This window comes from Homo sapiens, chromosome 12 (genome assembly GCF_000001405.40).
Source record: "Homo sapiens chromosome 12, GRCh38.p14 Primary Assembly".
NCBI lineage: Eukaryota > Metazoa > Chordata > Mammalia > Primates > Hominidae > Homo > Homo sapiens.
The window spans coordinates 47,970,173-47,994,788 of record NC_000012.12 but is presented as its reverse complement, the minus strand read 5'-3'; the positions used below and the strand labels follow the sequence as shown (position 1 = coordinate 47,994,788).

General features: G+C 55.3%; 1 protein-coding gene and 1 long non-coding RNA gene across 8 annotated transcripts in view, besides 3 other annotated features; one reads left to right on the top strand and one right to left on the bottom strand.

The window, feature by feature from the left end:
* The window catches only part of COL2A1 (collagen type II alpha 1 chain), a 33,246-nt gene extending 11,424 nt beyond the window's left edge, over positions 1-21,822 (top strand). For all 7 annotated transcript variants that reach the window (XM_017018830.1, XM_017018829.1, XM_017018828.1 and 4 more), the window contains 43 exons: positions 312-365; positions 742-795; positions 927-980; positions 1,287-1,331; positions 1,858-1,911; positions 4,984-5,028; positions 5,508-5,561; positions 7,080-7,178; positions 7,476-7,520; positions 7,613-7,711; positions 7,901-7,954; positions 8,346-8,453; positions 8,824-8,877; positions 8,963-9,061; positions 9,202-9,255; positions 9,696-9,794; positions 10,190-10,243; positions 10,649-10,702; positions 11,053-11,106; positions 11,351-11,404; positions 11,652-11,696; positions 11,843-11,941; positions 12,180-12,287; positions 12,629-12,682; positions 12,960-13,013; positions 13,393-13,446; positions 13,821-13,874; positions 14,128-14,235; positions 14,727-14,780; positions 15,225-15,278; positions 16,031-16,192; positions 16,391-16,498; positions 16,672-16,779; positions 17,136-17,189; positions 17,362-17,469; positions 17,634-17,687; positions 17,870-17,977; positions 18,222-18,275; positions 18,719-18,826; positions 19,184-19,472; positions 19,927-20,114; positions 20,458-20,700; positions 21,236-21,822. In XM_017018830.1, coding sequence (XP_016874319.1) covers positions 312-365; positions 742-795; positions 927-980; positions 1,287-1,331; positions 1,858-1,911; positions 4,984-5,028; positions 5,508-5,561; positions 7,080-7,178; positions 7,476-7,520; positions 7,613-7,711; positions 7,901-7,954; positions 8,346-8,453; positions 8,824-8,877; positions 8,963-9,061; positions 9,202-9,255; positions 9,696-9,794; positions 10,190-10,243; positions 10,649-10,702; positions 11,053-11,106; positions 11,351-11,404; positions 11,652-11,696; positions 11,843-11,941; positions 12,180-12,287; positions 12,629-12,682; positions 12,960-13,013; positions 13,393-13,446; positions 13,821-13,874; positions 14,128-14,235; positions 14,727-14,780; positions 15,225-15,278; positions 16,031-16,192; positions 16,391-16,498; positions 16,672-16,779; positions 17,136-17,189; positions 17,362-17,469; positions 17,634-17,687; positions 17,870-17,977; positions 18,222-18,275; positions 18,719-18,826; positions 19,184-19,472; positions 19,927-20,114; positions 20,458-20,700; positions 21,236-21,382 — 3,702 coding nt within the window. In that variant the 3' untranslated portion in view covers positions 21,383-21,822. The remainder of the gene's footprint in view (positions 1-311; positions 366-741; positions 796-926; positions 981-1,286; positions 1,332-1,857; positions 1,912-4,983; positions 5,029-5,507; positions 5,562-7,079; positions 7,179-7,475; positions 7,521-7,612; positions 7,712-7,900; positions 7,955-8,345; positions 8,454-8,823; positions 8,878-8,962; positions 9,062-9,201; positions 9,256-9,695; positions 9,795-10,189; positions 10,244-10,648; positions 10,703-11,052; positions 11,107-11,350; positions 11,405-11,651; positions 11,697-11,842; positions 11,942-12,179; positions 12,288-12,628; positions 12,683-12,959; positions 13,014-13,392; positions 13,447-13,820; positions 13,875-14,127; positions 14,236-14,726; positions 14,781-15,224; positions 15,279-16,030; positions 16,193-16,390; positions 16,499-16,671; positions 16,780-17,135; positions 17,190-17,361; positions 17,470-17,633; positions 17,688-17,869; positions 17,978-18,221; positions 18,276-18,718; positions 18,827-19,183; positions 19,473-19,926; positions 20,115-20,457; positions 20,701-21,235) is intronic.
* Positions 4,526-4,575: an enhancer, noted in NCBI's record as "active region_6277". NCBI's record gives its function as "activates an Ori minimal core promoter by ATAC-STARR-seq in GM12878 lymphoblastoid cells {active_cell/tissue: GM12878}" and the evidence as "EXISTENCE:reporter gene assay evidence [ECO:0000049][PMID:35858748]".
* Positions 11,914-14,142, bottom strand: LOC105369752 (uncharacterized). Its single transcript, XR_944910.2, has 4 exons — positions 14,050-14,142; positions 13,363-13,487; positions 12,315-12,374; positions 11,914-11,992 (listed from the first exon to the last, which is right to left on the bottom strand). It is a non-coding gene; the product is annotated as an uncharacterized LOC105369752 (long non-coding RNA).
* Positions 12,953-13,498: an enhancer, noted in NCBI's record as "H3K4me1 hESC enhancer chr12:48375074-48375619 (GRCh37/hg19 assembly coordinates)". NCBI's record gives its function as "activates a minimal SCP1, AML or CMV promoter by ChIP-STARR-seq in primed H9 embryonic stem cells {active_cell/tissue: H9 hESC(primed)}" and the evidence as "EXISTENCE:reporter gene assay evidence [ECO:0000049][PMID:30033119]".
* Positions 20,452-20,664: a silencer, noted in NCBI's record as "fragment chr12:48367908-48368120 (GRCh37/hg19 assembly coordinates)". NCBI's record gives its function as "represses an EF-1alpha promoter that drives an FKBP-Casp9 reporter gene in an ReSE screen in HepG2 liver carcinoma cells {active_cell/tissue: HepG2}" and the evidence as "EXISTENCE:reporter gene assay evidence [ECO:0000049][PMID:32094911]".

Below are 24,616 nucleotides of genomic sequence, written 5' to 3'. Positions count from 1 at the left end.
TAAAAGTCTCTTGAGGTTAGAGAGAGCACATACAGTCAGCAGAACCTAGGAGAGGAGAGAAAAAGCCTCTCAGGGGAAGTTGGAGGCTGGTGAGGACAGAGGAGCTTGCCCATGGGCTATGCATGTGTCCAAAAGAATAAATGGTGACCCATGAAAGGCATCCAGGCACGTGGAGTCTGAAGGAGGTGAGGGAGATGAGTGAGCCGGTAGGCAAAGGCATGGAGGGCTGGAAGGAGGGAAGCCCTCTGGGGTGCCCCCACTATGCTACTGCGTCTCTGAGGAAGCTGGGATATCTCTCTCTCTCCCTTCAGGGTGAAGCTGGAAAACCTGGAAAAGCTGGTGAAAGGGGTCCGCCTGGTCCTCAGGTAAACGCCACCGTTCCCAGCCTCAGGCATCTTTCCTAGCGTCTCCCTCCCTGTGGCCTTAAACACAGTGCATCCAGTTCAATGAGGTCACTTCTGAGATGAAACGCCAGTAGCCCCTATATTTATCACGACCATGTTTGTAATTTCCACTCAGGCTCTCATGAGGGAGGCTGGGCAGTTGTTATTTATACCACTTTGCATAAAATGGGGGGTACGGGGAGGGGTGGTCTGGGTTTTACAGAAAGAGCTGTCCAAGTGTGGGGATTCGAGACAACGCCCTGGTGGCCCAAGGGAACTGGAGGCCCTCCTGCAGCCCAGGGCAGCTTTCCACTGTTATTTTACTCTGTGCTCTGAACACCTCCACTTTGGATTGCAGGGTGCTCGTGGTTTCCCAGGAACCCCAGGCCTTCCTGGTGTCAAAGGTCACAGAGTAAGTATCACGGGTGAGAAGGTTGGAAGGAAGAGATGCCTGGTGGGAGAGAAAAGCACTTTGGGGTGCGTGCATTTCTTCCAACTTGGGTTTCCCAGAAGTCTGATTGAACATTTTCTCTTGTTCCCTAGGGTTATCCAGGCCTGGACGGTGCTAAGGGAGAGGCGGGTGCTCCTGGTGTGAAGGTGAGAGGCCAGAAAGTACAATGGGATGGGGAGGAGGGAGACAATGAGGAGCCCCTCTTCCTAGCCAGGGAGACACTGTGGAGCTCAGTGGAACTAGCTCCTCAGAACAGCCTTGGCTGGGAACACCAGCCCTACATCCTGATGGGCCAACAGCAGGCCTGGAGAGCTCAGGGCATTGTCCCTCACAGGACTGAAGTTTGTGTCAGTGCGAGCTGAGATGACCAGGGCTTTTGGCGTCTTCCCTAGGAGTTTGCTGGCGGCCAAGAATGGGGTCCCAGACACTGACCTTGTGCATCATTTTTCCAGGGTGAGAGTGGTTCCCCGGGTGAGAACGGATCTCCGGGCCCAATGGTAAGTATGGACACCCTCCAGGAAGGTTTATCAAAGACTCTTCAGACTATCAGATGGCTGCAAAGAGCTCCCTTTGTGCAAAGTTCATATTCTGTGTTGTAGATTTCATCTGATTGTGAGCAAAAAGCAAAATGTATTAGACAGATGATTTGTTCAAGATTTCACCAACATTTCCTTAAGATACCCATTTTATCACACTAAAGATGCTCCCATTTAAAAAAATTCTGTTGAGTCTCAACATTTTGTCAAGCTCATCTACTGCAAGGAGCAAGGTGTGCTTGTAACAAAGGTTCCCAATAGGTAGCAACAGGAACATTCGTGTGTTCCGCCTGTGGAGAAAACTGTTGGGTGTGATCTGAGGCATCCTGGCTAGTCAAGGAGCCAGCACCATCAGGAGGTCCTTGTTTTCCTGGGTGTGGGCATCCTCCCTCTCCTCTGGTATCCGCAAAGGGCCTGCAGGTAGAAATGGTCACCCTGAGCACCGTAAAGCCAACTCATGCTTAGGCTGTCCTGGTGTGTGTTCCAGGGTCCTCGTGGCCTGCCTGGTGAAAGAGGACGGACTGGCCCTGCTGGCGCTGCGGTGAGTAATTGACAAAGCCAAACACCACCATTTGCCGAGCACTTTAGAGTTTACAGGTTTGTTTCTCTTGACCCTCGAAACAACCCTGTGAGGCATAGGGAGTATTGTTATCCCTTAAGAATTCACCCCCAGTGTGCCCATCAAAACTTCCCAGGCTGAGTCTGCACAGTTGAAGGAGGAAGGATAGGAATGGGAGGGTCGATGGGTGAAAGCATGATTCTCTTAACCAGTCCAGATTATCAGGTAATCCCTTCAACAACCACCACCCACTCCCTGGGCAATCCAGCTGGAGTTTACAGACAGACTTAGCTGGCTATAGCACCACCGTGCTACTCTCTGTTCTTCCTGGTTGCTCAAATGCCCTAGAAAAGTGGAACAGGTGAGCATCAACTCACAGGGCTCTATGCTGGCTGCTGCTGTGAGGGATGTTATGCTATAGTACCAGGGGCCACCATTCCATAGGCACTTCCTGTGTTTAATACCCTATATGCTTTACTTCATCTCATCTTCCTCCATATCCTGAGAGGTGGTTCTATTCTTCTCCCCATTTTACGGATGAAAAAACCGAGACACAGAAAGGTGAAATAGCTTAAGATAAATAGTGCCTTGCAGCCTTAGACTCTGGTGGCCTCTAGTTAATGTGGGAAATTAAGGGTGAGGGGATTGGCAGCTGATGGAGGGTGCAGGGTGCCAGACAGAGGCGTTTAGCTCTGATTCCTTAGCAATAGAGAGTCCTTGTAGGCACTTGGTCAGGCGAGTGATGCGATGAAAGCTGTGTTTAAGAAAGATTATGCTTTCTGCTGATTTCATACCCCCAACACCCAAGCTCTGAGGCCCCTCCTCACAGGTCCTTGCAGGGCTGGCCAAAATAAAGCAGCTTCACTCCGTTGTGCTGCTTTCCAGCTAATGTGTCTGTTTGGCAGAAGTTTCCCTCAAAGGCAGATCAGTGAAATAAGCAGAAGCCTCGACCCCCCTTTGTCAGCCAGAGCTGCTGAAGTGCCTTGCCCCAGGGTCACTTTGTGTGAGGGGATTAGAGAGCACTGGGGCTGCCAAGAAACACTGCCGTTTCTACAGATTAGCAGGATGCTGGCTTGTGGCCTTTTAGCGAGGCTCAGAGCTGCGGTGGCCCTAGTCTGCATGGGCTAAAGACAAGCTCCATCTCCTGTCCTTGTTCCCTCCTTCCTGGGCACAGCCGCCCTGCTTCTTGGTTCTCTCTGTTGGTTCCTGTCCGCACGGTAGTTAGGCTGGCAGCGTGTGTAGGATTTGGCTTAGAAGATTGACAACATTGCCTTTGAGCCCTTCTTTGCTACTCCTCCCTCTCCCCTCCCATCAGACTCCTCTCTGGAGTCTGCTCTGCGAGGCCTCTGCTCTGTGGTATCCCAGCAGCCTTCTCAGCCTTGACTTCCAGAAGGGGGCTGTGCAGTGTCCGGGGTGTGCAGGCCCCAGACACGGGGTAGGCTCATGGAGATCCAAGTGCTGATCTAGTGTCAAGGCTGGCCTGGAGACTGGGCTGGGTTGGTGTCTGCCTGCTGTGGTCATGTGCCCTCCCTTGGGCCTGTATCCTCTCTCCAGACTTGCTGCAGGGAGAGGTGGCAGATGTCAGCCTAGTTCTGGCCTCTCAGAGCAGCATGGCAGCTCCCTTTCACTCAGGCCCAGGCTGGGCCCTCCTGCTGGCTGACCCCTGGGGAGAGGGTGCTCCAGAGCTCCCCAAGGAACTGCTTCCCGAAGCAGCCAGGCCAGCCCAGAGGGGCTGTGGCCAATCCTGAAGCTTTATGTTCCTGCTGACATTTTTTCTAAGTTTTCTCTTGCTTTCCTCTTAAATGCCAATCTGGAGAGTCTCCGTTAGGAGAAATGGACCCCAGCCAGGAAGAAGAGTTGAGTTGTATTTAAAACACGAGCTCCCCCTAAAGCATCCTTCTTTAGCTTCTAAGGAGAGGCAGAGACTGACAGGCAGGACTCAGCAGGAAAAGGTACCCCCCTGACCTGCTCAGTCAGGCCCTAGGCCCAGCTCCACCCAGCCTGTGGCCCCCAGAGTTTCGGTAAAGAGTTCCCTGGGCCTTAAGGAACCTTGAGAGAGCATTTGAGGGGTGCCACCACAAACTTGGCAGAAAAAACCCTCCCCCTCCAAGTCCAGTCCTAGAGAAGGAGCTGGCAACCTTGCCTTGCTTTGTAAGCAAAAGCCTCTTAGGGCTTGAGCTCAGATGTAGTGTTTGAGCTGTGGCTGGTGCCCTGCCCCATCAGGGAGCCAATGGTAGACATCCTATGGGCATCTTTGTTTTCCGTAAGAGCAGGCTGTCTGGGGATGGGCCAGAGGAAGAGGCAACCTGGAGTCAACCAAGAGGAGGCCTTAACCAAGCCTTAACCACAGAGGTTAACCAAGCCTTGAAAGCGCTTCCCCCTGAGCAGGCAGGAAGCACTGAGTCCACATGGTTGCCTCGCTGTTTCATTTCCTTACACTCAATTCTCTCAGTCTTTAAATGATCACTTGGCCTTGAAGTTACGGATATTTGGGGTCTGAACTGAAGTTGAAGAAAAGAGAAAATGATTTAAGCTTTGTTTAAGATTAGGGGCCAGGTGCGGTGGCTCACGCCTGTAATCCCAGCACCTTGGGAGCCTGAGGCGGGTGGATCACCTGAGGTCAGGAGTTCCAGACCAGCCTGGCCAACATAGCAAAACCCAGTCTCTACTAAAAATAACAATAAAAAAAATAGCCAGGTGTGGTGACACATGCCTGTAATCCCAGTTACTCAGGAGGCTGAGGCAGAATTGCTTGAACTTGAGAGGTGGAGGTTGTAGTGAGCCAAGACCGCACCACTGCACTCCAGCCTGGCGACAGAGCCAGACTCCGTCTCAAAAACAACAACAAAAAAAGATTAGAAGAAGCCCATTACTGCCTTCTGGCCACCCACTCGCACAGACACCAAAACTGCAGCCCACACCTCGCCATCCTCGTGCTCTGCCCTGGGACACCCCAGGCACAGTGTGTCCTTCGTTTTCTGTAAGGGTGGGCTGGGAGCAGGGACGGACAGGGCCTGTGGGCACCTCTCATGGTCACTTCCTTCTTGCTCACAGGGTGCCCGAGGCAACGATGGTCAGCCAGGCCCCGCAGGGCCTCCGGTAAGTTCATTTCATCCTCAGCAGGTCATTGTTGCTGTGCTTTAAGTCCCGTTAAGCAGCCCAAGGCAGTCTGCAGGGTGTATTGGGTGCAACCACAGCAGCACTCTGATGTCTACTGGAAAGGGGGAGGAAAGAGAAGAAGTTTGTAAATATCAATTGAGCATATCGATAACAAGCTTTGAAGCATGGGCTCATTTTCCTCAGCCATCCTTTCAGCAGTCTTTTTAGAGGAGGGAGGTCAAAGGAGTTTCTGCTTCTCACCACAGATGTAGTCAGAAACTTGCTTTGCCTTCTGAAGCCAGGCAAAGTTTCCTGGGGACGCTGGCAATGGGGACAATTTTCATCCAAGGCCTTTTAGCCACAATGGATATGGAGTGAAATCAGTACAGAGGAGGGAAGGAGTGTGAGGTGTCGGGGTGGCTCGCTTTGGAGGCCAGAACTGGCATTCACCTCTCTTCTCATCCGCCTACTCTCTCCAGGGTCCTGTCGGTCCTGCTGGTGGTCCTGGCTTCCCTGGTGCTCCTGGAGCCAAGGTACGTGCCCTGTTGTCCAGTCAGGAACTTCTGGGTGCCGAGAAGCTGTCCTTTCCCCGTAACCCTTGCTCATTGCTCCCTCAACAACCACCTGCTCCCTTCTGAGAAGTAGCTCCCCACCACCCCACCCACTGGCCCCTCCATCCAGGCAGGGCAAAAAGCCAGACACTCGCAGTCTCACCTGGAGGGAAAGTAAGACAGAAGATAAAATGTGGGAGATCCAGTTACAACTTTGGAGTGGGGAAAGGTGGACAGAGAAGAAGACGGGGATACACCATAGGCCTGGCAGGGGCAGAAGGCCAGGAGTGGCAGCACAGGGAAGCAAACCTAGGGGAGACCCAACAGCTGAGCAAGCTCGGGGCCCTGACGGGCACTGGAGGGAACTGGGCAGGGAAAAGGGCACAGGCAGGGAGCCCCTGCTCCCCTCTGGGTTTCTGCTTTATTTGGGGTGCCTGGCTCTTCCAAACCATGTTAACGGAGTTCTCTGGAGGATTACTAGAGGCCAGTGGGAGGCCAGCCAGTTCAGGGACAGGCCTCGCAGCCCAGGAAGGATTCCAGTGTGAACGTCCCTGGGAATGAATAAGGAGCCTCCATGTGTCACTGGCATCAGGTTGCTTTTCCCCTCCTGGGGGTTTCCATGGCAACCAGACAGTGTCTGAGGTCCCGGAGCCGGGTGAAGGAGACCCATTGTGAAGAGGGACAGCGGAAGGTGAGGGGGGCTGACCTTTTGAAAATAATAATTACCACAGTGAAGCAGGAATGTTCTGAGAAGAAACCTGAGGAGGCTCTGCCCTCTCTCCAGGTCAGCAGCCCTCCCCAGGGACTCTGCCATCTAGAGTGGGTTGTAATTTTCAGGAAAAAATGAAAGTAAAAGCACAAGCCATTTTGTGGGGAGGGGGCTTGCCAGAGGCGCCCGCTAAGGGGAATTGGGCTGTATTGAGAGCAGGGAGGGGCAGAGTCCCCATGTGCTTTTGCCTTGGCTTTCTGGCTTACTGAGAACAGACTGGGGCCGGAGCCAGGGTGTCACTGTTCACCCGTCAGCCAGATGGGAGTGAGGTGGTGCTCTGAGCTGGGATGTTCAGAGACTTAGAAGGGACCTCAGCTCCTCAATAAAATAGAAAAACAGGAGGTGGGGGAGAGAGCGGTGTCCGTCCATCATCCCACGGTGCCAGGATGGCAGGGTCCCCAGCCCACGCTTTTCTGATGGTGTCGATGGAACAGCAGGTTGCCCATTGCTGTAGTATGTAGCTGTGCCGTGGCATGTGGAGGCTCACTGTGTAGAGATGAGGTAAGCAGTAGAGGAGGCAGGCGTGGGAAGTCATCAAGTCATCAGCTCGGTCAGGCAGGGAGAAAAACGGCAGCGTGAACTGTGTGTGAACGCACATGTTCATGTGCAGGGTTGGGTGCATGTGCATAATTTAGTGCTGTGCTTGCAGCTGGCCCTGAGCTATTGCCCACCCACTAGAGGTCTGTGTCCCCTCTCTTCTTCTTCATTTCATCCTCCCTGTCTCTTCCCAGGGTGAAGCCGGCCCCACTGGTGCCCGTGGTCCTGAAGGTGCTCAAGGTCCTCGCGGTGAACCTGGTACTCCTGGGTCCCCTGGGCCTGCTGGTGCCTCCGTAAGTGCAGCTTCTCTTTGGCCTGGGGGGGTCTGGGGTCTGTGGCTTTGGAACTCTTGACTCTGTACTTTGCTCTGACAGTTGTGGGCTCCAACCACCAAACCTTCATTCTGGCCCAATGCCTGTCCCCACCTCTAGATGTATTCCCTTCTATCCCATCTTCCCCTTGAAACACATAGTGGGAATGTCCCTGAAATGGACAGCACCTATGCCAGGTCCCTGGATCTGGATCCTGGAGGGCTGGAGGTGGTTGGGGTTCATTCTTTGCTGCTTATTTGACAATGTCTCCCTTTTCAGGGTAACCCTGGAACAGATGGAATTCCTGGAGCCAAAGGATCTGCTGTGAGTGTTGCCCGTGGACTTTGCTACCCCAGGAGAGCCCAGTCCTGCCTCTCCCCTCTCCTGACACCCCTCCCTTCTTCTCATGCCCACAGGGTGCTCCTGGCATTGCTGGTGCTCCTGGCTTCCCTGGGCCACGGGGCCCTCCTGGCCCTCAAGGTGCAACTGGTCCTCTGGGCCCGAAAGGTCAGACGGTAAGAGCCCAAAGTGACCCCCAAGTTCCACTGACATCTCTGGAGTCAAACCCCATCACCCCTCTTTCCCATGCTCTCCTGCCCTGGCCTCACAGCGGCCTCCATCCGAGGGCATCTTGAACAGGGGTTCTGGGGAGGGGCAGGCTCCCTGGAGAGAATCTGGTGTGAGGACCTGCCTCTCTTTTCAAGGGTGAACCTGGTATTGCTGGCTTCAAAGGTGAACAAGGCCCCAAGGGAGAACCTGTGAGTATCTGCCCCCAAGCCCTTGTCTTCTCTGCTGCTGTTCTATGAGGCACAGGCCTCAGCCCCACTGACCCACCACCTCCCTCCTCCAGGGCTCTATCCCCCAATCTGGGTCCTTTCAGATTATGCCTGGAGGAGACTTAACAGGGCTGAGAAGGCCCAGATACAGCTTCAGCTCCCATCCTTGGTTTGGCTAGTGTGAACAGTTGGATCTTTAGCCCCTCTCACTTCCCTCTGCCCTGCCATGGCTCGTCCTTTATGGCCTCTCGTCCTCAAGCCCCCCCCCAGCCCTGAAACAGTTGCCAAGGCTACTTCCTTCATACTCTGAGTCGAGGCTTGCTCCAAGGCCAGGTGAAGGCTCACTCTGTTTCTCTTTTTTGCTGGTCCTCAGGGCCCTGCTGGCCCCCAGGGAGCCCCTGGACCCGCTGGTGAAGAAGGCAAGAGAGGTGCCCGTGGAGAGCCTGGTGGCGTTGGGCCCATCGGTCCCCCTGGAGAAAGAGTTAAGTGAATGTGGAGGCTCCATCCCATGGGGCCTGTGACCTCGAGAGGGAAGTGGAGTCCTTGTGGTCCGTGTTCTGGTCAAGTCTCGTGACTTTTCCGCATGTCATCCTCCTCTTTCTCCATCCACACCGCGGGGAGAGGGAGTCTGATCCTGATTTGTGCCGCCAACCACCAGACTGACATGAAATAGTCTGAGCTCCTTCCCAGGAAGCGGGGCAGGCTCCAGAAGTTAACCTCTGAGAATCCTGCAGGCCACAGCTACTGCTCCCCAGAAATTGGGGTTGGTGGGTTAGTGGGATGGACCCACTGGAGCCTGGCTGGGTTGGGGCTGTTCTCACTCACTGCCTCTCCTCCCTGTGGCTCCTTAGGGTGCTCCCGGCAACCGCGGTTTCCCAGGTCAAGATGGTCTGGCAGGTCCCAAGGTGAGTGGGAGAAGAGGGGCTGGGGTCCCTCCCTGCATCGCTGAGGTCACATGGTATCCCACTGACTCCCTGTGTACCCTTGTAGGGAGCCCCTGGAGAGCGAGGGCCCAGTGGTCTTGCTGGCCCCAAGGGAGCCAACGGTGACCCTGGCCGTCCTGGAGAACCTGGCCTTCCTGGAGCCCGGGTAAGTAGCAGAGCTGCTGTTGCCCTTGGCTTCAGACCCTCAGGCCCTTCCTGGCTGGCTCCTTCCAGCCCTGCACTGCCAGGATTGGGAGGTCCTGGGGCCGGCTCCTGACCCCACCCTCTTCTCTCTCCTGAACAAAGGGTCTCACTGGCCGCCCTGGTGATGCTGGTCCTCAAGGCAAAGTTGGCCCTTCTGTAAGTCTATCCTCTGAGGGCTGCTAGGAGGGTGGGGGGATCTCCCTGGGGAAGCAAGGGAAAAGAGAGATGGAGTTTGGGTTAGGGAGGCCTGAAGTACTGTGAATTTTGAGAATTGTGACAGGGGGTAGATGGTAGGCACTGGGGCCAGATGTAACCTGTGCAGTAGCTGTGAGCACTGAAAATGCCACCCCAGTATGCATTCGGGGCTTATCCTTGGGGGAATGATGACATCGTGTGTGCACTTTCTGGGGCAGCTTTCTAAGCTCAGCGGTGTCTTGTTGTAGATGGGCCCATGGGTGTGATGTGGTCAATCCTAGATGCTGAGCATGTGTGGCTGGTGCCTAGTCCTGGGCCTGCCATGTAGGCCCTTAGTGGATGTTGGGTGGATGGATGTGGTCAGAGTGTCTATGTTCTGAGAATGGTGTTCTGTCTTTCAGGGAGCCCCTGGTGAAGATGGTCGTCCTGGACCTCCAGGTCCTCAGGGGGCTCGTGGGCAGCCTGGTGTCATGGGTTTCCCTGGCCCCAAAGGTGCCAACGTAAGTAATAATTTGCTCTTCTATTTCCTTCCATGTGGTGCTACCTACCTCCCTGCCCTCTTGGGGAAAGGGCTGGGTCCTGAGTAGAGTTTAACCAGGGACAGTGATGAGTGGGGCTCCTGTGCCATGGGTGGCAGTGGGGGTCTGTATGTGATTTGGGGAAAATCCATGGCCCCACAGAGCCTCGGGGCATTGCGGCCATAATTGTTCCATGTGGCAGTGCCCAGCAGGCTGGTTGCCATTATGGCCCCTGAACAGAAGAGAAGGGCTGATACTTTGCTTTATCTTGGCTGTCCATCAGGATGTGGCCCCAGGCCTCAGTCCCTGCAGCCCGCTCTGCCCCCAACTCCCTCCCAAACCATCCGCCTCATGGCCCTGCCCTCTCTTTCCTTCAGGGTGAGCCTGGCAAAGCTGGTGAGAAGGGACTGCCTGGTGCTCCTGGTCTGAGGGTAAGTATCCTTCCCCGCTGCCCATGACTTGGTGTTGGCCGGGCATCTGCAGGGAGGACAGGGGAACGGCCTCCCCATGGCATGGTCCCGGGACCCCTCAGTATTGAGTGTTGATCTCTGTGGCTGAGCCCCATGCTGGCTGGGCCCTTTGGGTGTCTACACAGGGAGACTTCTGTTTGCCATTGGTCAGCAGGCCGGGGAGCTGGGGAAGGCTTCCATGCTGAGAACAGCTAAGAAAAGACGGGGCCTGGGAAGGAAGGGAGGGGAAGGTGTGGAAATGGAGCTCAGCTGGGGTACCGTGGAGGTCTGGAAACTCTGGGCCAGAAGTACCTTTGCCCAATCCTAGGGGGACTGCAAGTGGGAAGAAAAGCGTGTCATTGACTTTTCTTTTTCTCTTCTGTCTAGGGTCTTCCTGGCAAAGATGGTGAGACAGGTGCTGCAGGACCCCCTGGCCCTGCTGTAAGTACCTGCCCAGCCTCCCCAGGTGGCCCTGGGGGCAGGGGCTGGGAGGGGTGGGGGTGGGAGAGCCCATCCATTAATGGAGCTGACAGATGTGAATGTGGGCTGAGCTGATACACCAGACTCACTCTGAGCTGAGGCAGGGTGTCCCAGGAGGCTGTGTGGACCCACATTGGTGGAGAGGAGTGTGGGTGGCTGATGGGAGTGCAGGGAGGCATGCATGCACTGTCTGAGTGGTGCAGGAAGACGCCTGTGCTGCCCACCCTGCTGACCTCCCCTGGGCCCTACTAGCTGTGGCTCTCAGGGTCTCTGGAACACTGGCTCAGCTCACCTTTTCTTTTCCACTGCAGGGACCTGCTGGTGAACGAGGCGAGCAGGGTGCTCCTGGGCCATCTGGGTTCCAGGTAGGTGGCTGGACCAGGCTCTCTGTGCAGTCCTTTGCCATACCCAGGGCTCCCTGGGACAGCAGCAGGCACTATCGGTGGAGGGCCCACACCTCTTGCAGGGTGCCAGGCATCGAGCCTTCCCTGCACCCCTGGCTGTCACTGCTGCTGCTTCCTTTCTTTGGGTCTGCCCTATACTGTGCCTCCCTGGGGGCCAGGGCAGCAAACTCACTCCTTTGCTAACGCTTGTCACTTCGGCTTCTAGGGACTTCCTGGCCCTCCTGGTCCCCCAGGTGAAGGTGGAAAACCAGGTGACCAGGTGAGTATGGGGCTCTTTGGACCTGCAACCTGTTTAGATGGGAAGGTCTTTTCTGATGCCTAGGAGGCAAGGGCAAGAGGGCATGAGGAGCCCTGTGAGGCCTGGGAATGTCCTGGACCCATGTCCCAGCCTCCACAGATGACACAATCCCCCATGGGAGGAGTGATATTCAGCCCTGCTGTGGAGAATTGTTCAGGGGTCTGTGATATGAAGCCTTCACTCTCACACATCTTTCTTTGTTCTCCAGGGTGTTCCCGGTGAAGCTGGAGCCCCTGGCCTCGTGGGTCCCAGGGTGAGTATCCTGTTGGCCAATGCGGGCTGCCTCCTTGGGCCTGCCCTGGGTCCTATGCTCCTGCTCCTTTCCCCACCTCCCTGCTTCTCCCTGGACCTTCTCCCCCACTGCTGTTGGTTGATCACTTCTTGGTGTCTCTGCCGCAGGGTGAACGAGGTTTCCCAGGTGAACGTGGCTCTCCCGGTGCCCAGGGCCTCCAGGGTCCCCGTGGCCTCCCCGGCACTCCTGGCACTGATGGTCCCAAAGTAAGTGAGGCTGCATCCTGTAGGGGTCTTCGTGGTAGCCTGGGAGTCCCACTGAGCAGGGAGAAGAGGAGCGGGCTCAGGAGGAATGAAGAACAGAAGTGGGGGGAGCTGGAAAGGAGGTCTACATGGGAGGAAGGGAAGGAAGAGGGGTTTGGGGCCCTGGTTACCCAGGCTCCATGAACATGGGTTCAGGGAGAGGTGCTGTCCACTACAGACTCCCTCTTACCTCCCTCCCCAGGGTGCATCTGGCCCAGCAGGCCCCCCTGGGGCTCAGGGCCCTCCAGGTCTTCAGGGAATGCCTGGCGAGAGGGGAGCAGCTGGTATCGCTGGGCCCAAAGGCGACAGGGTAAGTACTGAGGTTACAGCCTCTCACCAAAGCTGTGGCTTTGCCACATTCCTGCCCCTTGTGATCGCTTCCGTTCCCTTATGGCACCTGGTGATGAAGGTTTCTGTTAGCCCTTTTTGAGGAGCTTAAAGACTCCTTTCCAAAGCTCCCTGCCTTTTAGTGACATCCTTTCCCCTGTTCCTTCATCTCACCCCTGCTGCTCCTCACCCACCCTGAGACCACAGCAAATTCCTCTTGGGCAGGGACTGGGCTTTCCCTAGCACCCCAGCCTGGGTGGGACTGAGCAAACCATGGGGGTCCTGGGGTGCCTGGCTGAGGCGGCTGGTTTTCTCTTCCCTCAGGGTGACGTTGGTGAGAAAGGCCCTGAGGGAGCCCCTGGAAAGGATGGTGGACGAGTAAGTGAATGCGGGCTGCTGGACTGCTGGGCATTAGGATCCTAGCCCTGCACCCAGGAGAGCAGGAGAGAGGGCTGGGCAGTCTGCCACTGGGGTCCCTGGTCCTGTCTCTGTCGGGGCTGGGCAACTGCAGGGACTTCTCTGTTAAAATGGGGCCAGAGGGTAAGTGGGAGCTCTGGAGGCGGTGGGAGCACGCACCAAGGTTGGCTTGGTGCCGGGCCGCACGTGCTCGGCTGGCTCAGCCTGCCTCCCTCACCTCTACCTGCTCTCCCCGCAGGGCCTGACAGGTCCCATTGGCCCCCCTGGCCCAGCTGGTGCTAATGGCGAGAAGGTGAGTCCCGGCTCCTTTCCTCTCCACACCTTGCCTCCCTGTCACACCTCCTTCTTATCTCCTGCCAAAGGCGGTTCTGTCTTGTCCTCCCTCACCACTGTCACCCTCGGCCAAGGCCGTAGGAGTGAAGAGGGGGCCCTCTCAGAAGTGAAGCCGCTGGCAGTGTTCCCTGTTGGGTGGGGCAACTGGGCTGGGGTAAACACACATTCAGCAGAGGCCCTCGAGAGGGTGCGGGTATGGGCTGCACAGTAACACAGGCTGTGCCAGGGGGACCTGGAGCCCCCTTCCCACGAGCAAGGCCCCCCAAATGCACTTTGCCCTCTCCCACTCTGCCTCCCCACCTTCTTACCCCAGCTCTTCCTCCCTTCCCCACCCTCAGGGAGAAGTTGGACCTCCTGGTCCTGCAGGAAGTGCTGGTGCTCGTGGCGCTCCGGTGAGTGTCTGCCCCTCTGAGCCTGGCTCTGCCCGAGGCCCCTGGGAACCAGAGAGCCAGGGAGTCAGTGCAGGCCCTCATGCTGCCTGGTGGCCCTGTGTGCTGCCAGGCACTGGCTCCCTCCCTACCCGCTGGGTCTAGGGTGGGAGGAGAGATGGGAAGGGAAGGGGGAAGGCACGTCACTCCCATCATGTGTTCAGGGTGAGGGCTTTTGGGTTAACAGAGCCTCTGCCTGCGTTCAGGACTAAGGCTGCTTTCAGATCCCCGTCTCTGGGGAACAGGAGGCTGGGCAGGGCCCAAGGGGCTCTTGGAGGGGAGCAGAAGCAGGTCAGGCAGCGGGGCCTGACCTCTCGCCATGCCCCCTTCTCTCACAGGGTGAACGTGGAGAGACTGGGCCCCCCGGACCAGCGGGATTTGCTGGGCCTCCTGTGAGTATCTCTGTCCATCCTCCTGGGTCCCTCCACTCAGGCCAGTTCCACATCCAGCACCCTCGGGCATCGGAGCTTGTCAGGGAGGGAAATGGATGCTCCTCTCCTCTCCTTTCCCGCCTCCATACTAATAGAACCATCATGTCCAGACCAGGACACACACGCAGATACTCACAGAGTCTCCTGCTCTTCTGGAAGAGCTCCAGGGTTTTAGCCTGCCCCTCATTCACCTGCTTCCTCCTTCCCATTATAGGGTGCTGATGGCCAGCCTGGGGCCAAGGGTGAGCAAGGAGAGGCCGGCCAGAAAGGCGATGCTGGTGCCCCTGGTCCTCAGGGCCCCTCTGGAGCACCTGGGCCTCAGGTGGGTAACGCTGCACTCCAAGAATTGTTCCCTCAAGGAAGGGCTCCTGGCGTGCAGATGGGAAGGCCCCAGCAGGCTGCGCAGAGGATGGTTCGCAGGCCTGGGAACACCCCCATGTTGGTAGAAGGAGCTTCCATGTGGCATGTGGGCTGTGTGGGTGGGGTGTAGGGACTGACAGAGTACAGGCTGGCCACAGCCAGCCAGAACCAAGCTGCTGATCTCCTGGGGAGGAGGGGGCGGTGGCAGGAAGAGCTTCCCGGGAGGCCAGACCCCAGACCGGTTCTGTGGTTGCCTGACAGGCTTCTCCTAGAACACAAGTCTCCTGTGGCAGAGGGGACAGAGCTGCCTGTGGCAGCCTCTTCAGGCTGGGTTTTTAGTGCCAAGAAAGCTGCATCTTCGAAAACCTCAGGGGTCCATTGTTGGGGCTCAGACAGAAGCCCACCGTCTTCCTTGGGCCACTGGGCCTCACTGTCTCCCTCTTTCCTTTCCAGGGTCCTACTGGAGTGACTGGTCCTAAAGGAGCCCGAGGTGCCCAAGGCCCCCCGGTGAGTGAGGCCTCTGACACCCCACCCTGCACCTCACAAAGAGGCCTGGCCCCAGAGGCTCCCATGGCGGGGGTGTTCTGGGATGCCCCCGACTGTTTTCCCAGCCCTGCGTTGGTCCCCAGCCTAAGCCCACCCACAGCCAGGTGGGAGAGAGGGCGCCTGTGGGCTGGGTGCACTGTGGTCCCGGATTCCCCAGCCCGAGGCTTGTCCCTCGTTCAGCTCCCTGAAGTGCTGACTGTGGAAACCGGAGGCAGGGAAACAGCCTGTGCCTGCTTCTATGACCAGACCCGGGGGCCCTTTCTCCCTCCCTGGATCCCCCTTGCTGCTTTGCAGTCCCTCGCCCTTTCCATACCAGGCTCTGAGACCACCCCCGCCCCCCGCCCATTTTAATCTCAAACCTCCTGAGGGCTTGAGGTTCTCAGGGGCTCTCCTCTCCCCACACAGGGAGCCACTGGATTCCCTGGAGCTGCTGGCCGCGTTGGACCCCCAGGCTCCAATGTAAGTGATGCTCCTGGCATGAGAGGCACAGGCAGGCATGGAATAGCCTGGCCCAGCACCCAACAGGGTCTGGAGAGCTCCAGGCTGGCCTTCACTCCTCTGAGTCCGTTCCTGCCCCCTGGAGGAGTAGCTAACTGATCATGGGGACCTATCCCCTGAGGGTGGCTGGGGGCAGGGTTGTGGCCCTGCTGTCAGCAATGGGTGGCTGCCCTGCTGGCTTGGTGGGCAGGACAGGGCTGCCATGATTACCTTCATCCTGGACAGATGTTTCTTGAGCATGTTCTGTGCACTTGTCTGTGTGCTTTAAAGCAAGTCCGCATGTCCTGGGTCGCTCTCAGGGAGTTTGCATGGAGGGAGCAGTGGTGATGAACTCACTGGGTTCACCAGCGCCATAGGCAGAGGGAGAGAGTGCTGGGGGCAAGCTCAGGGGTCAGAGGGGCAGGGCTGGAGCGGCTCCTGAGGAAGGGGGATTGAGGACAAAGGGAGGAGGGAGGAGAGATTCCAGGTAGATGGGAGAAAGCAAAGCAAGCAGGAGCTGGAGAAGTTGGGGCTGTCTGCCCAGAGCTGTCTCACATGGTGAGAAGGTTGCAGCGGTAGATTGGGGTTGGGGGGGTTAAGCTGCCTGCCCTTAGTGTGGGGAGGTAGAGAAGCCCCCAGAGAGGAAACTGCTGTCACTGAGGCCACAGTGACTTTGGCAGCCTGGATGAGGAAGGGTGAGATGAGTCCTCACTTCCCGCATTTTCTCCTTCTAGGGCAACCCTGGACCCCCTGGTCCCCCTGGTCCTTCTGGAAAAGATGGTCCCAAAGGTGCTCGAGGAGACAGCGGCCCCCCTGGCCGAGCTGGTGAACCCGGCCTCCAAGGTCCTGCTGGACCCCCTGGCGAGAAGGGAGAGCCTGGAGATGACGGTCCCTCTGTAAGTCCCTCACCAGGCCCATGCCAAGGTCCCTGGGAGCAGGGTCGTGAGTGGCTTCTGAGCTCACAGAGCATGGGGTAGGAGGGAGCAGGGGCCGTGGGGATGCCAGGGAGCGGGGCTGCACAGACAGAGCTGTGCTGAGAGGACAGAAGAGGCTGGGCCACTGTCAGTTCTCATCTCCTGCCTCTCCTCTCTCAGGGTGCCGAAGGTCCACCAGGTCCCCAGGGTCTGGCTGGTCAGAGAGGCATCGTCGGTCTGCCTGGGCAACGTGGTGAGAGAGGATTCCCTGGCTTGCCTGGCCCGTCGGTGAGTGTGGGGTATCCCTCCCTCCATCCAAGCTGGGCCCTGCCTGCCAAGGCTTCTACCTCCCTCAGCACCCTCAGGACTGTCCCTTGTCTGCCCTCTCCCTGAAGGGTCAGTGGGCCCTGGGCAGGGGTGCTTACCACTTGCACTCATCATCCTTGTCTCTGTCCCTCCAGGGTGAGCCCGGCAAGCAGGGTGCTCCTGGAGCATCTGGAGACAGAGGTCCTCCTGGCCCCGTGGGTCCTCCTGGCCTGACGGGTCCTGCAGGTGAACCTGGACGAGAGGTGAGCAGTGAGACCCCCTGGGGTGGCCCTGATTGGGGAGAGGGGCCCTGTGAGTCTCTGTGCTGGGTCAGCAAGGACAAGTCCCAGTCAGGGCCCTGGAGAAGGGGGTGGCAGTGTCGGCCGACAGGCCTGAAAGCCTAGGTACAATGGGAAGGTTGTCGGGGAGAGAGACGGGCATAGAGACCAAGGGCTGCTTCCGGAAGGAGGAGGGAAACTTGGTGAGGAAACTTTGGCTTCAAAGTGTGAGTGAGTTGGGCAGAAGAGGAGAGGCCTGGGCTTCTGAGAGGGGCTGGGGGAGCAGAGGGGGAGATGGGCAGGAAGCAGCTCTAAGTGCATTCTTGTTTCACTTTGTCCAGGGAAGCCCCGGTGCTGATGGCCCCCCTGGCAGAGATGGCGCTGCTGGAGTCAAGGTGAGTGTCTGGTGTCTGTGTGTGCAGTGGGTTGGGGAGGACATTGCCTCGGGCCTGACAGGTCAGCTGGGGGTGGCAGGTTGGAACAAGTCTCATCTCAGCCTAGAAGGACCTTCTGTTCCTGTCTCTTCTGGAACATTCTTCTCTGAGCCTGAGACCTCTCTCCTGACAGGGTGATCGTGGTGAGACTGGTGCTGTGGGAGCTCCTGGAGCCCCTGGGCCCCCTGGCTCCCCTGGCCCCGCTGGTCCAACTGGCAAGCAAGGAGACAGAGGAGAAGCTGTAAGTATCCTGAATTCAGTAAAAGCCGCCTTCCCCTGCGCGGTGGGGCTGAGGCAGTCCCTGGGTTTCCGCAGTCTCTGGACTAAGGAGCAGTGGCCTCAGATGCAGAGGAGGCCCCCACCTGTCCTGGCTTTTCTCTGACGCTGCGCTCACTCTCTCCTCAGGGTGCACAAGGCCCCATGGGACCCTCAGGACCAGCTGGAGCCCGGGGAATCCAGGTGAGTATCCAAGTGTCCTGCACTGAGTCCCCACCAGGGATAGGCTGGGAGGGCAGCCAGCCTCCAGGTGGTTCCTGGGCCTCCAGCCCTGTGTTTCCGGGGATTCCTCAGCTTGGGTGGGACAGGAGGGGGCTCCTGTCCTGGCCCTGACCTGACTCAATCGGTGTCTGTCTTGTTCCCAGGGTCCTCAAGGCCCCAGAGGTGACAAAGGAGAGGCTGGAGAGCCTGGCGAGAGAGGCCTGAAGGGACACCGTGGCTTCACTGGTCTGCAGGGTCTGCCCGGCCCTCCTGTGAGTGTCACTGCCTGCGTGGGACTTCCCGAGGCCTCCTGCCACACAGAGCCCACTTGAGCTCCCTGTGCTGCCAGGACAGCTTGGGATCACCCTAAGCAGTTTCTAGGATTTCCTCAGGGCTGGAGGGAGGAGGAAGTGGAAAGGGAATGGGGCTGGGACATAAAGCTGTTCCCCCAGCTCCCAGAATATAGATAGATATGTCTGTGCTGACCGTGGCCTTTTGCCTCTTCCTTCTACACAGGGTCCTTCTGGAGACCAAGGTGCTTCTGGTCCTGCTGGTCCTTCTGGCCCTAGAGTAAGTGACATGGAGTTGGAAGATGGAGGGGGCCCTTCAGAGAGTGTGGGCCTGTGTTCCCATGGGGAGGGAAATGCTGCTGCTTCTGGGGAAGCTGTGGGCTCAGGGGTCCTCACTCAGTAATGGGGGCAGGACTGGCTCATGTGCCTATGGCCAGAAAAGCGCCTGAGGCCACAATGGCTGTAAGACAAACATGAATCAGCCTCTCGCTGTCAGACAGAACAGCATTTTACAAAGAGGAGCTTAGGAGGGTAGGCAAGCCATGGAGCTATCCTGCTGGTTCTTGGCCAAATAGAGACCAACTTAGGGTTCCATGACTGAGCATGTGAAGAACTGGGGGCGGAGTGGCTGGTGCTATCAGGACAGCCACCTACCCAGCCCCAGCGACTCCCCAGCCTTCCCTGTGGTGACCACTCTTTCCTCACGACCTCTCTCTCTTGCAGGGTCCTCCTGGCCCCGTCGGTCCCTCTGGCAAAGATGGTGCTAATGGAATCCCTGGCCCCATTGGGCCTCCTGGTCCCCGTGGACGATCAGGCGAAACCGGCCCTGCTGTAAGTGTCCTGACTCCTTCCCTGCTGTCGAGGTGTCCCTACCATCCGGGAGGCTTGAGCTCTTTTTTGCTCAGGGCCTCTTTTAGGGCATCAGCCTGCAGCTAACAGTGATGGCATCCTTTATCCTGAGGTCTCCTCAGAGGTCACAGGGCCCATGATCAGTGCTGGGAAACTGAAGAGAAGGGCTAAGGAAGAAATAGACATGGTGCTGTGGTTTCCTTGGTCCTCGCCTGCTACACCTCCGCCCCACCCATGGGGCTGGGAAGAGGGACACTCTAGTACATTCTAGCAAATGGGGATGGACATGGAGGGGCACTTTCACACAATCCTGGCTGATCTCTCTGTTTCCTGCTGCAGGGTCCTCCTGGAAATCCTGGACCCCCTGGTCCTCCAGGTCCCCCTGGCCCTGGCATCGACATGTCCGCCTTTGCTGGCTTAGGCCCGAGAGAGAAGGGCCCCGACCCCCTGCAGTACATGCGGGCCGACCAGGCAGCCGGTGGCCTGAGACAGCATGACGCCGAGGTGGATGCCACACTCAAGTCCCTCAACAACCAGATTGAGAGCATCCGCAGCCCCGAGGGCTCCCGCAAGAACCCTGCTCGCACCTGCAGAGACCTGAAACTCTGCCACCCTGAGTGGAAGAGTGGTAAGCTTGGAGAACAGGATCCCCTGCCCCGGGAAGCAGGGAGTCATCCCTTAGGCCTAGCAGCAAGGGAGGAGATGCCCCCTAGTACAGGGCAGAGCTGGGCCTGGAAGTTTCCGCCAGAGGGTTCCTCTCTTATTTCACAGCAGAGAAGCTGCAGCCCTGGCCCCTGTCCTGCCATGGCTACCTGGCCGAGGTGACCTCAGGGTGGACTCCATCCACCAGCTGGGCACTGCTTCTGCTCTCTTTGCATGTGTTCTTCCTTAGGGCTGGACTTAGCTCATGCAGATCTCCCTGCCCCTGCATCCTCCCAGGTCCCCCTCCTTTCAGGCCACATGTGAACCTCATCCCTTGTCCCTGTAGGCCTCTCTGTCTCTTTCAGTCAGGCCTGGGTCTCTCAAGCTTTTGTGTCTGTGCCTGTCTGAGCCCCCATGGGTGCTGCCTCTTCCCCCTGCAGGAGACTACTGGATTGACCCCAACCAAGGCTGCACCTTGGACGCCATGAAGGTTTTCTGCAACATGGAGACTGGCGAGACTTGCGTCTACCCCAATCCAGCAAACGTTCCCAAGAAGAACTGGTGGAGCAGCAAGAGCAAGGAGAAGAAACACATCTGGTTTGGAGAAACCATCAATGGTGGCTTCCATGTGAGTACCTGGGTGCCCTAGATGATGAGCAGAGATGGCTCCTCAAACTCTTTCTTTTCTTTCTCCCTGGAAGCTTTTAGCACCTTCCCCATATTTTCCTCCAGTTTTCTGTTGGGCTTGAGAGGAGGGAAAGAGGAGGAAAAGTATTTTTTCCCCACGTGGAGGTGGGAAAAGAGGTCCTCTGAGCTTGCTCCACTCCTGGAAGCAAAAATGTCCAACTAGCTCCCTGCTGCCCCAGTACCCTTGAGGTCCTTGAACCATGAACTCTTGGCAGCCCCTACAGCCCCTGGTCCCATTGAATGCCAGCTCCCAGGCCTCACACTGCCGCTCTCTGCCCCAACAGTTCAGCTATGGAGATGACAATCTGGCTCCCAACACTGCCAACGTCCAGATGACCTTCCTACGCCTGCTGTCCACGGAAGGCTCCCAGAACATCACCTACCACTGCAAGAACAGCATTGCCTATCTGGACGAAGCAGCTGGCAACCTCAAGAAGGCCCTGCTCATCCAGGGCTCCAATGACGTGGAGATCCGGGCAGAGGGCAATAGCAGGTTCACGTACACTGCCCTGAAGGATGGCTGCACGGTGAGTGGGGCTGCCAGAGAGAAGAGCTGCCTGTGCCCAAACCGCCTGGAGCAGGGCTGAGGGTTGGCCCGCGGCAGCTGTCAGGTCCTAAAGTGACAGGATCATCAGAGGCATGAGTTTGAGGGTCATGTAGAGAAGATAGGCTGAGTGACAGGTGAGAGAGAGGCACATATCATTCCATCTTCTCCATTCCCCTGGCTCAGGGGAACAAAACCCTACCTGGAACCCAGTGACTACTGTAGAAGTGTTCTCGCAATGTGTACAGGGTGAAGAAGCGGTCACAGGTTGGGAGCTCACTGTGGGGAGTGGGGAAGGAGGGGAAGGGCAGGGTGGAGAAGGGCCCTGCCGCTAAGGATAGGAGTTGAAGTGGAGAGGCCTTTGGCAAGCCAAGAAGAGGTCTCAGGAGCCCCCTCAGTGTGGTTCAACCTTGTGGGCTCTGATGCTCGCCAGTTTGTTCAGTTTTGGGCTTCTGGGCAGCTGGAACTGGGTAGCAAGGCATCTACTGAACAGAGCCTCCTCCTTTTTTCTCCCCTAGAAACATACCGGTAAGTGGGGCAAGACTGTTATCGAGTACCGGTCACAGAAGACCTCACGCCTCCCCATCATTGACATTGCACCCATGGACATAGGAGGGCCCGAGCAGGAATTCGGTGTGGACATAGGGCCGGTCTGCTTCTTGTAAAAACCTGAACCCAGAAACAACACAATCCGTTGCAAACCCAAAGGACCCAAGTACTTTCCAATCTCAGTCACTCTAGGACTCTGCACTGAATGGCTGACCTGACCTGATGTCCATTCATCCCACCCTCTCACAGTTCGGACTTTTCTCCCCTCTCTTTCTAAGAGACCTGAACTGGGCAGACTGCAAAATAAAATCTCGGTGTTCTATTTATTTATTGTCTTCCTGTAAGACCTTCGGGTCAAGGCAGAGGCAGGAAACTAACTGGTGTGAGTCAAATGCCCCCTGAGTGACTGCCCCCAGCCCAGGCCAGAAGACCTCCCTTCAGGTGCCGGGCGCAGGAACTGTGTGTGTCCTACACAATGGTGCTATTCTGTGTCAAACACCTCTGTATTTTTTAAAACATCAATTGATATTAAAAATGAAAAGATTATTGGAAAGTACATATTGACTTGTGGTTTGTTCTTTAGTTTGTTTTCCATTAATCCTCCGTTCTGTAGGCATGCCCAAATAGCAGTCCTAAGGACTTCTTCTGTTGATTTTTCAACCGAGAGTAAGGACACTGAAGCCACACCGCCAGGGTTAGCAGCCTCACACAAACATGAACTTGCCTCTCTGGTAAACCTTGGCACTATGTGGAACCCACTGTTGAACAGGACCAGAAACCAAAACTTGAGAAGGGAGGTATGCTAGAGGGAGGGCATTGCTCTTGAAGGTAAACACTGAACACAGCTCTATGACACCTTAGTGCCCTGCCAGCTTACGGTGTAAGACCACATGTGGGCTGCATCCTGCTGGATCGGAGACGTGGGAGATACTCCCTCGAGAAAGGAAGAAGACAGGGGAGCAAATCCTGCAGGGGCCCGTGGTTAAGTGCACACGATCAATCTGAGTGATCTATTTGTGTCCCTCTGTAAGACTTTTGGTTGTAGGTCAAGGAGAGGTGGAAATGTGACCTGGCCCACCCATATTCCTCCTGCCCCCGCCACTGTGGCCCCCATTCTTCACTCCCTGGGCCTGCACTTAAAATTTCCACGGACTCTGAACACCAGGCTTAAGAATGGACTGCTTCCCATTTCTTCCTACTCTTGGGTGTCCCTTGCCTTTCAATGACCTGGACAGGTGGCAACAATGAGCAAGTTGTCCCCTTCTCCACGGTGACGGGAACGCGGGAAGTGGGCGGGAGACTCCAAATCAATCAGAGGGCAGTAGCATTCTGTGAAGTAAATTTCCAAATATTTGGCACAACTGATAAAACAGAGAGCTACCCCTTTCTCTATCCCTCTCTCCCATCCCTGCCCCTGCTTCCTCCAGGTTAAGGTTGACAGCTTTTCTATTAAATAGTAAAAATAAATGAGACACTTGTGTTGGATTTGTATATATTAATACTCAATTTATGATATAAATTATCACCAGATAATAATATATGCCTATATATTATTATACAATATAGATAATATATACCTATATATTATTATACAATATAGATAATATATACCTATATATTATTATACAATATAGATAATATATACCTATATATTATTATACAATATAATAATATATACATATATTATTATACAATATAATAATATATACATATATTATTATACAATATAATAATATATACATATATTATTATACAATATAATAATATATACATATATTATTATACAATATAATAATATATACATATATTATACAAATATATACATATATTATTATACAAATAATATATACCTATATATTATTAATGTATACCTATATATTATTAAATAATATATACCTATATATAATATATACCTATATATATACACCTATATATACCTATATATACCTATATATTATTTAATAATATATATAATATATACCTAGGTTTATATATGTATGTATGTATATACACATACATACATATACACCTACAATAATACTATATACCCCACCAGAGCTAGTTCATGACAAAGGAGTAAAATGAAAACATGATCACTGAAAACACATAATTAGAATAGCTATCTCATAAGTTAAACAACCCTTCCACCTACCAAGAGCGCTAATTAGGGTCGGAGGAGAGCAGGTGACGTATATGGGTTCCTAGCTGGAGCTAGAGAGTTGAGCTCTGCTCCAACCTGTCCAACTCCAGAGCCTACTTACTCTTAATGAAGTAGTTCAGTAGATTGTGACCATCAGCTTAGACCTCTGCAAGAGAAGTCCCAGGATCAAGGTGATTCCTTGCAGTTCACCCGCTTCTTGAGTCCCTAGTCAAACTCAGAAATAATAGCAGCTGCTCCCTAGGTAACTGCGGCATGAAGTAGAAGGGAGAGCCCAGGGCAGTGCACGGAAAGCTCTGCCTCTGCCTGCACTAGGGTCAGGTGGAAATCGCCACCCTGGCTGGCAGGTCTGTGCTCCCTGTGCCGCTTCCTTGTCTTCCTTTGGCCCGGAGGGGAAGGTGAGAATAACCAGGATCGTTACTAACTTCTGTGATCCCTGATGCCCCCAGAAAGGAGACAGTCTCACTGGTCAGAACAACTTGTCAGATAAATTCCCAACCCCAGCAGGACTCTGGATAAATTCCACTCAGCAGGACTGAGTGGAAAGACCCAGCTTGCTGATTTTAAGGGGCTGGGCCAGGCTTTCCCTCTCTTGAGCCTCCTCATCTCCATGGAAGTGTCCGGCATCACAGGCTTTGGACGAGGAGTCGGCAGTCTCAGCTCCAGCTAAGACTTACTCTCAAGTCCCTTGGATCCTGTGCAAATCACAGAACTTCTGAAACGGGTTCCCTTCTAAACAACTGAAAGAACACAGAATCTTAAAGGAGTGCTAACCAGGTAATAAAGAATTTTACTTATCAAGGCAAAGAATAAGGATTATTTTGCCCAGAGAAAAGACCTGGGACCCTATTGATTCATGTAGTGCTTTAAACAAATAGGCTGATTCTTTTAATAATTTCTTTCACACTTTGGGCTAGAATCCCTGAGAGATGACCCAGAGATCGTGGAGGTCCTGCACTGAGGTACCTAGGGTTGCAGAATAGTTGGTGGAGATACACTATGGCCTATATAAGGCCTGGTGAGCATAAAAGATTTGTGATAGTGTTTTAAACTCCAGCTATGACTCTAGACAAAATGCATTAGAAATTGCAATCCTAGGCATACAGCAGGTACTCAATAAATACTTTCTAGAATGAGTAAATAAATGAATGGAGATTTCTGTATGCAACAACTCTTCAACCAGGTGATCCGG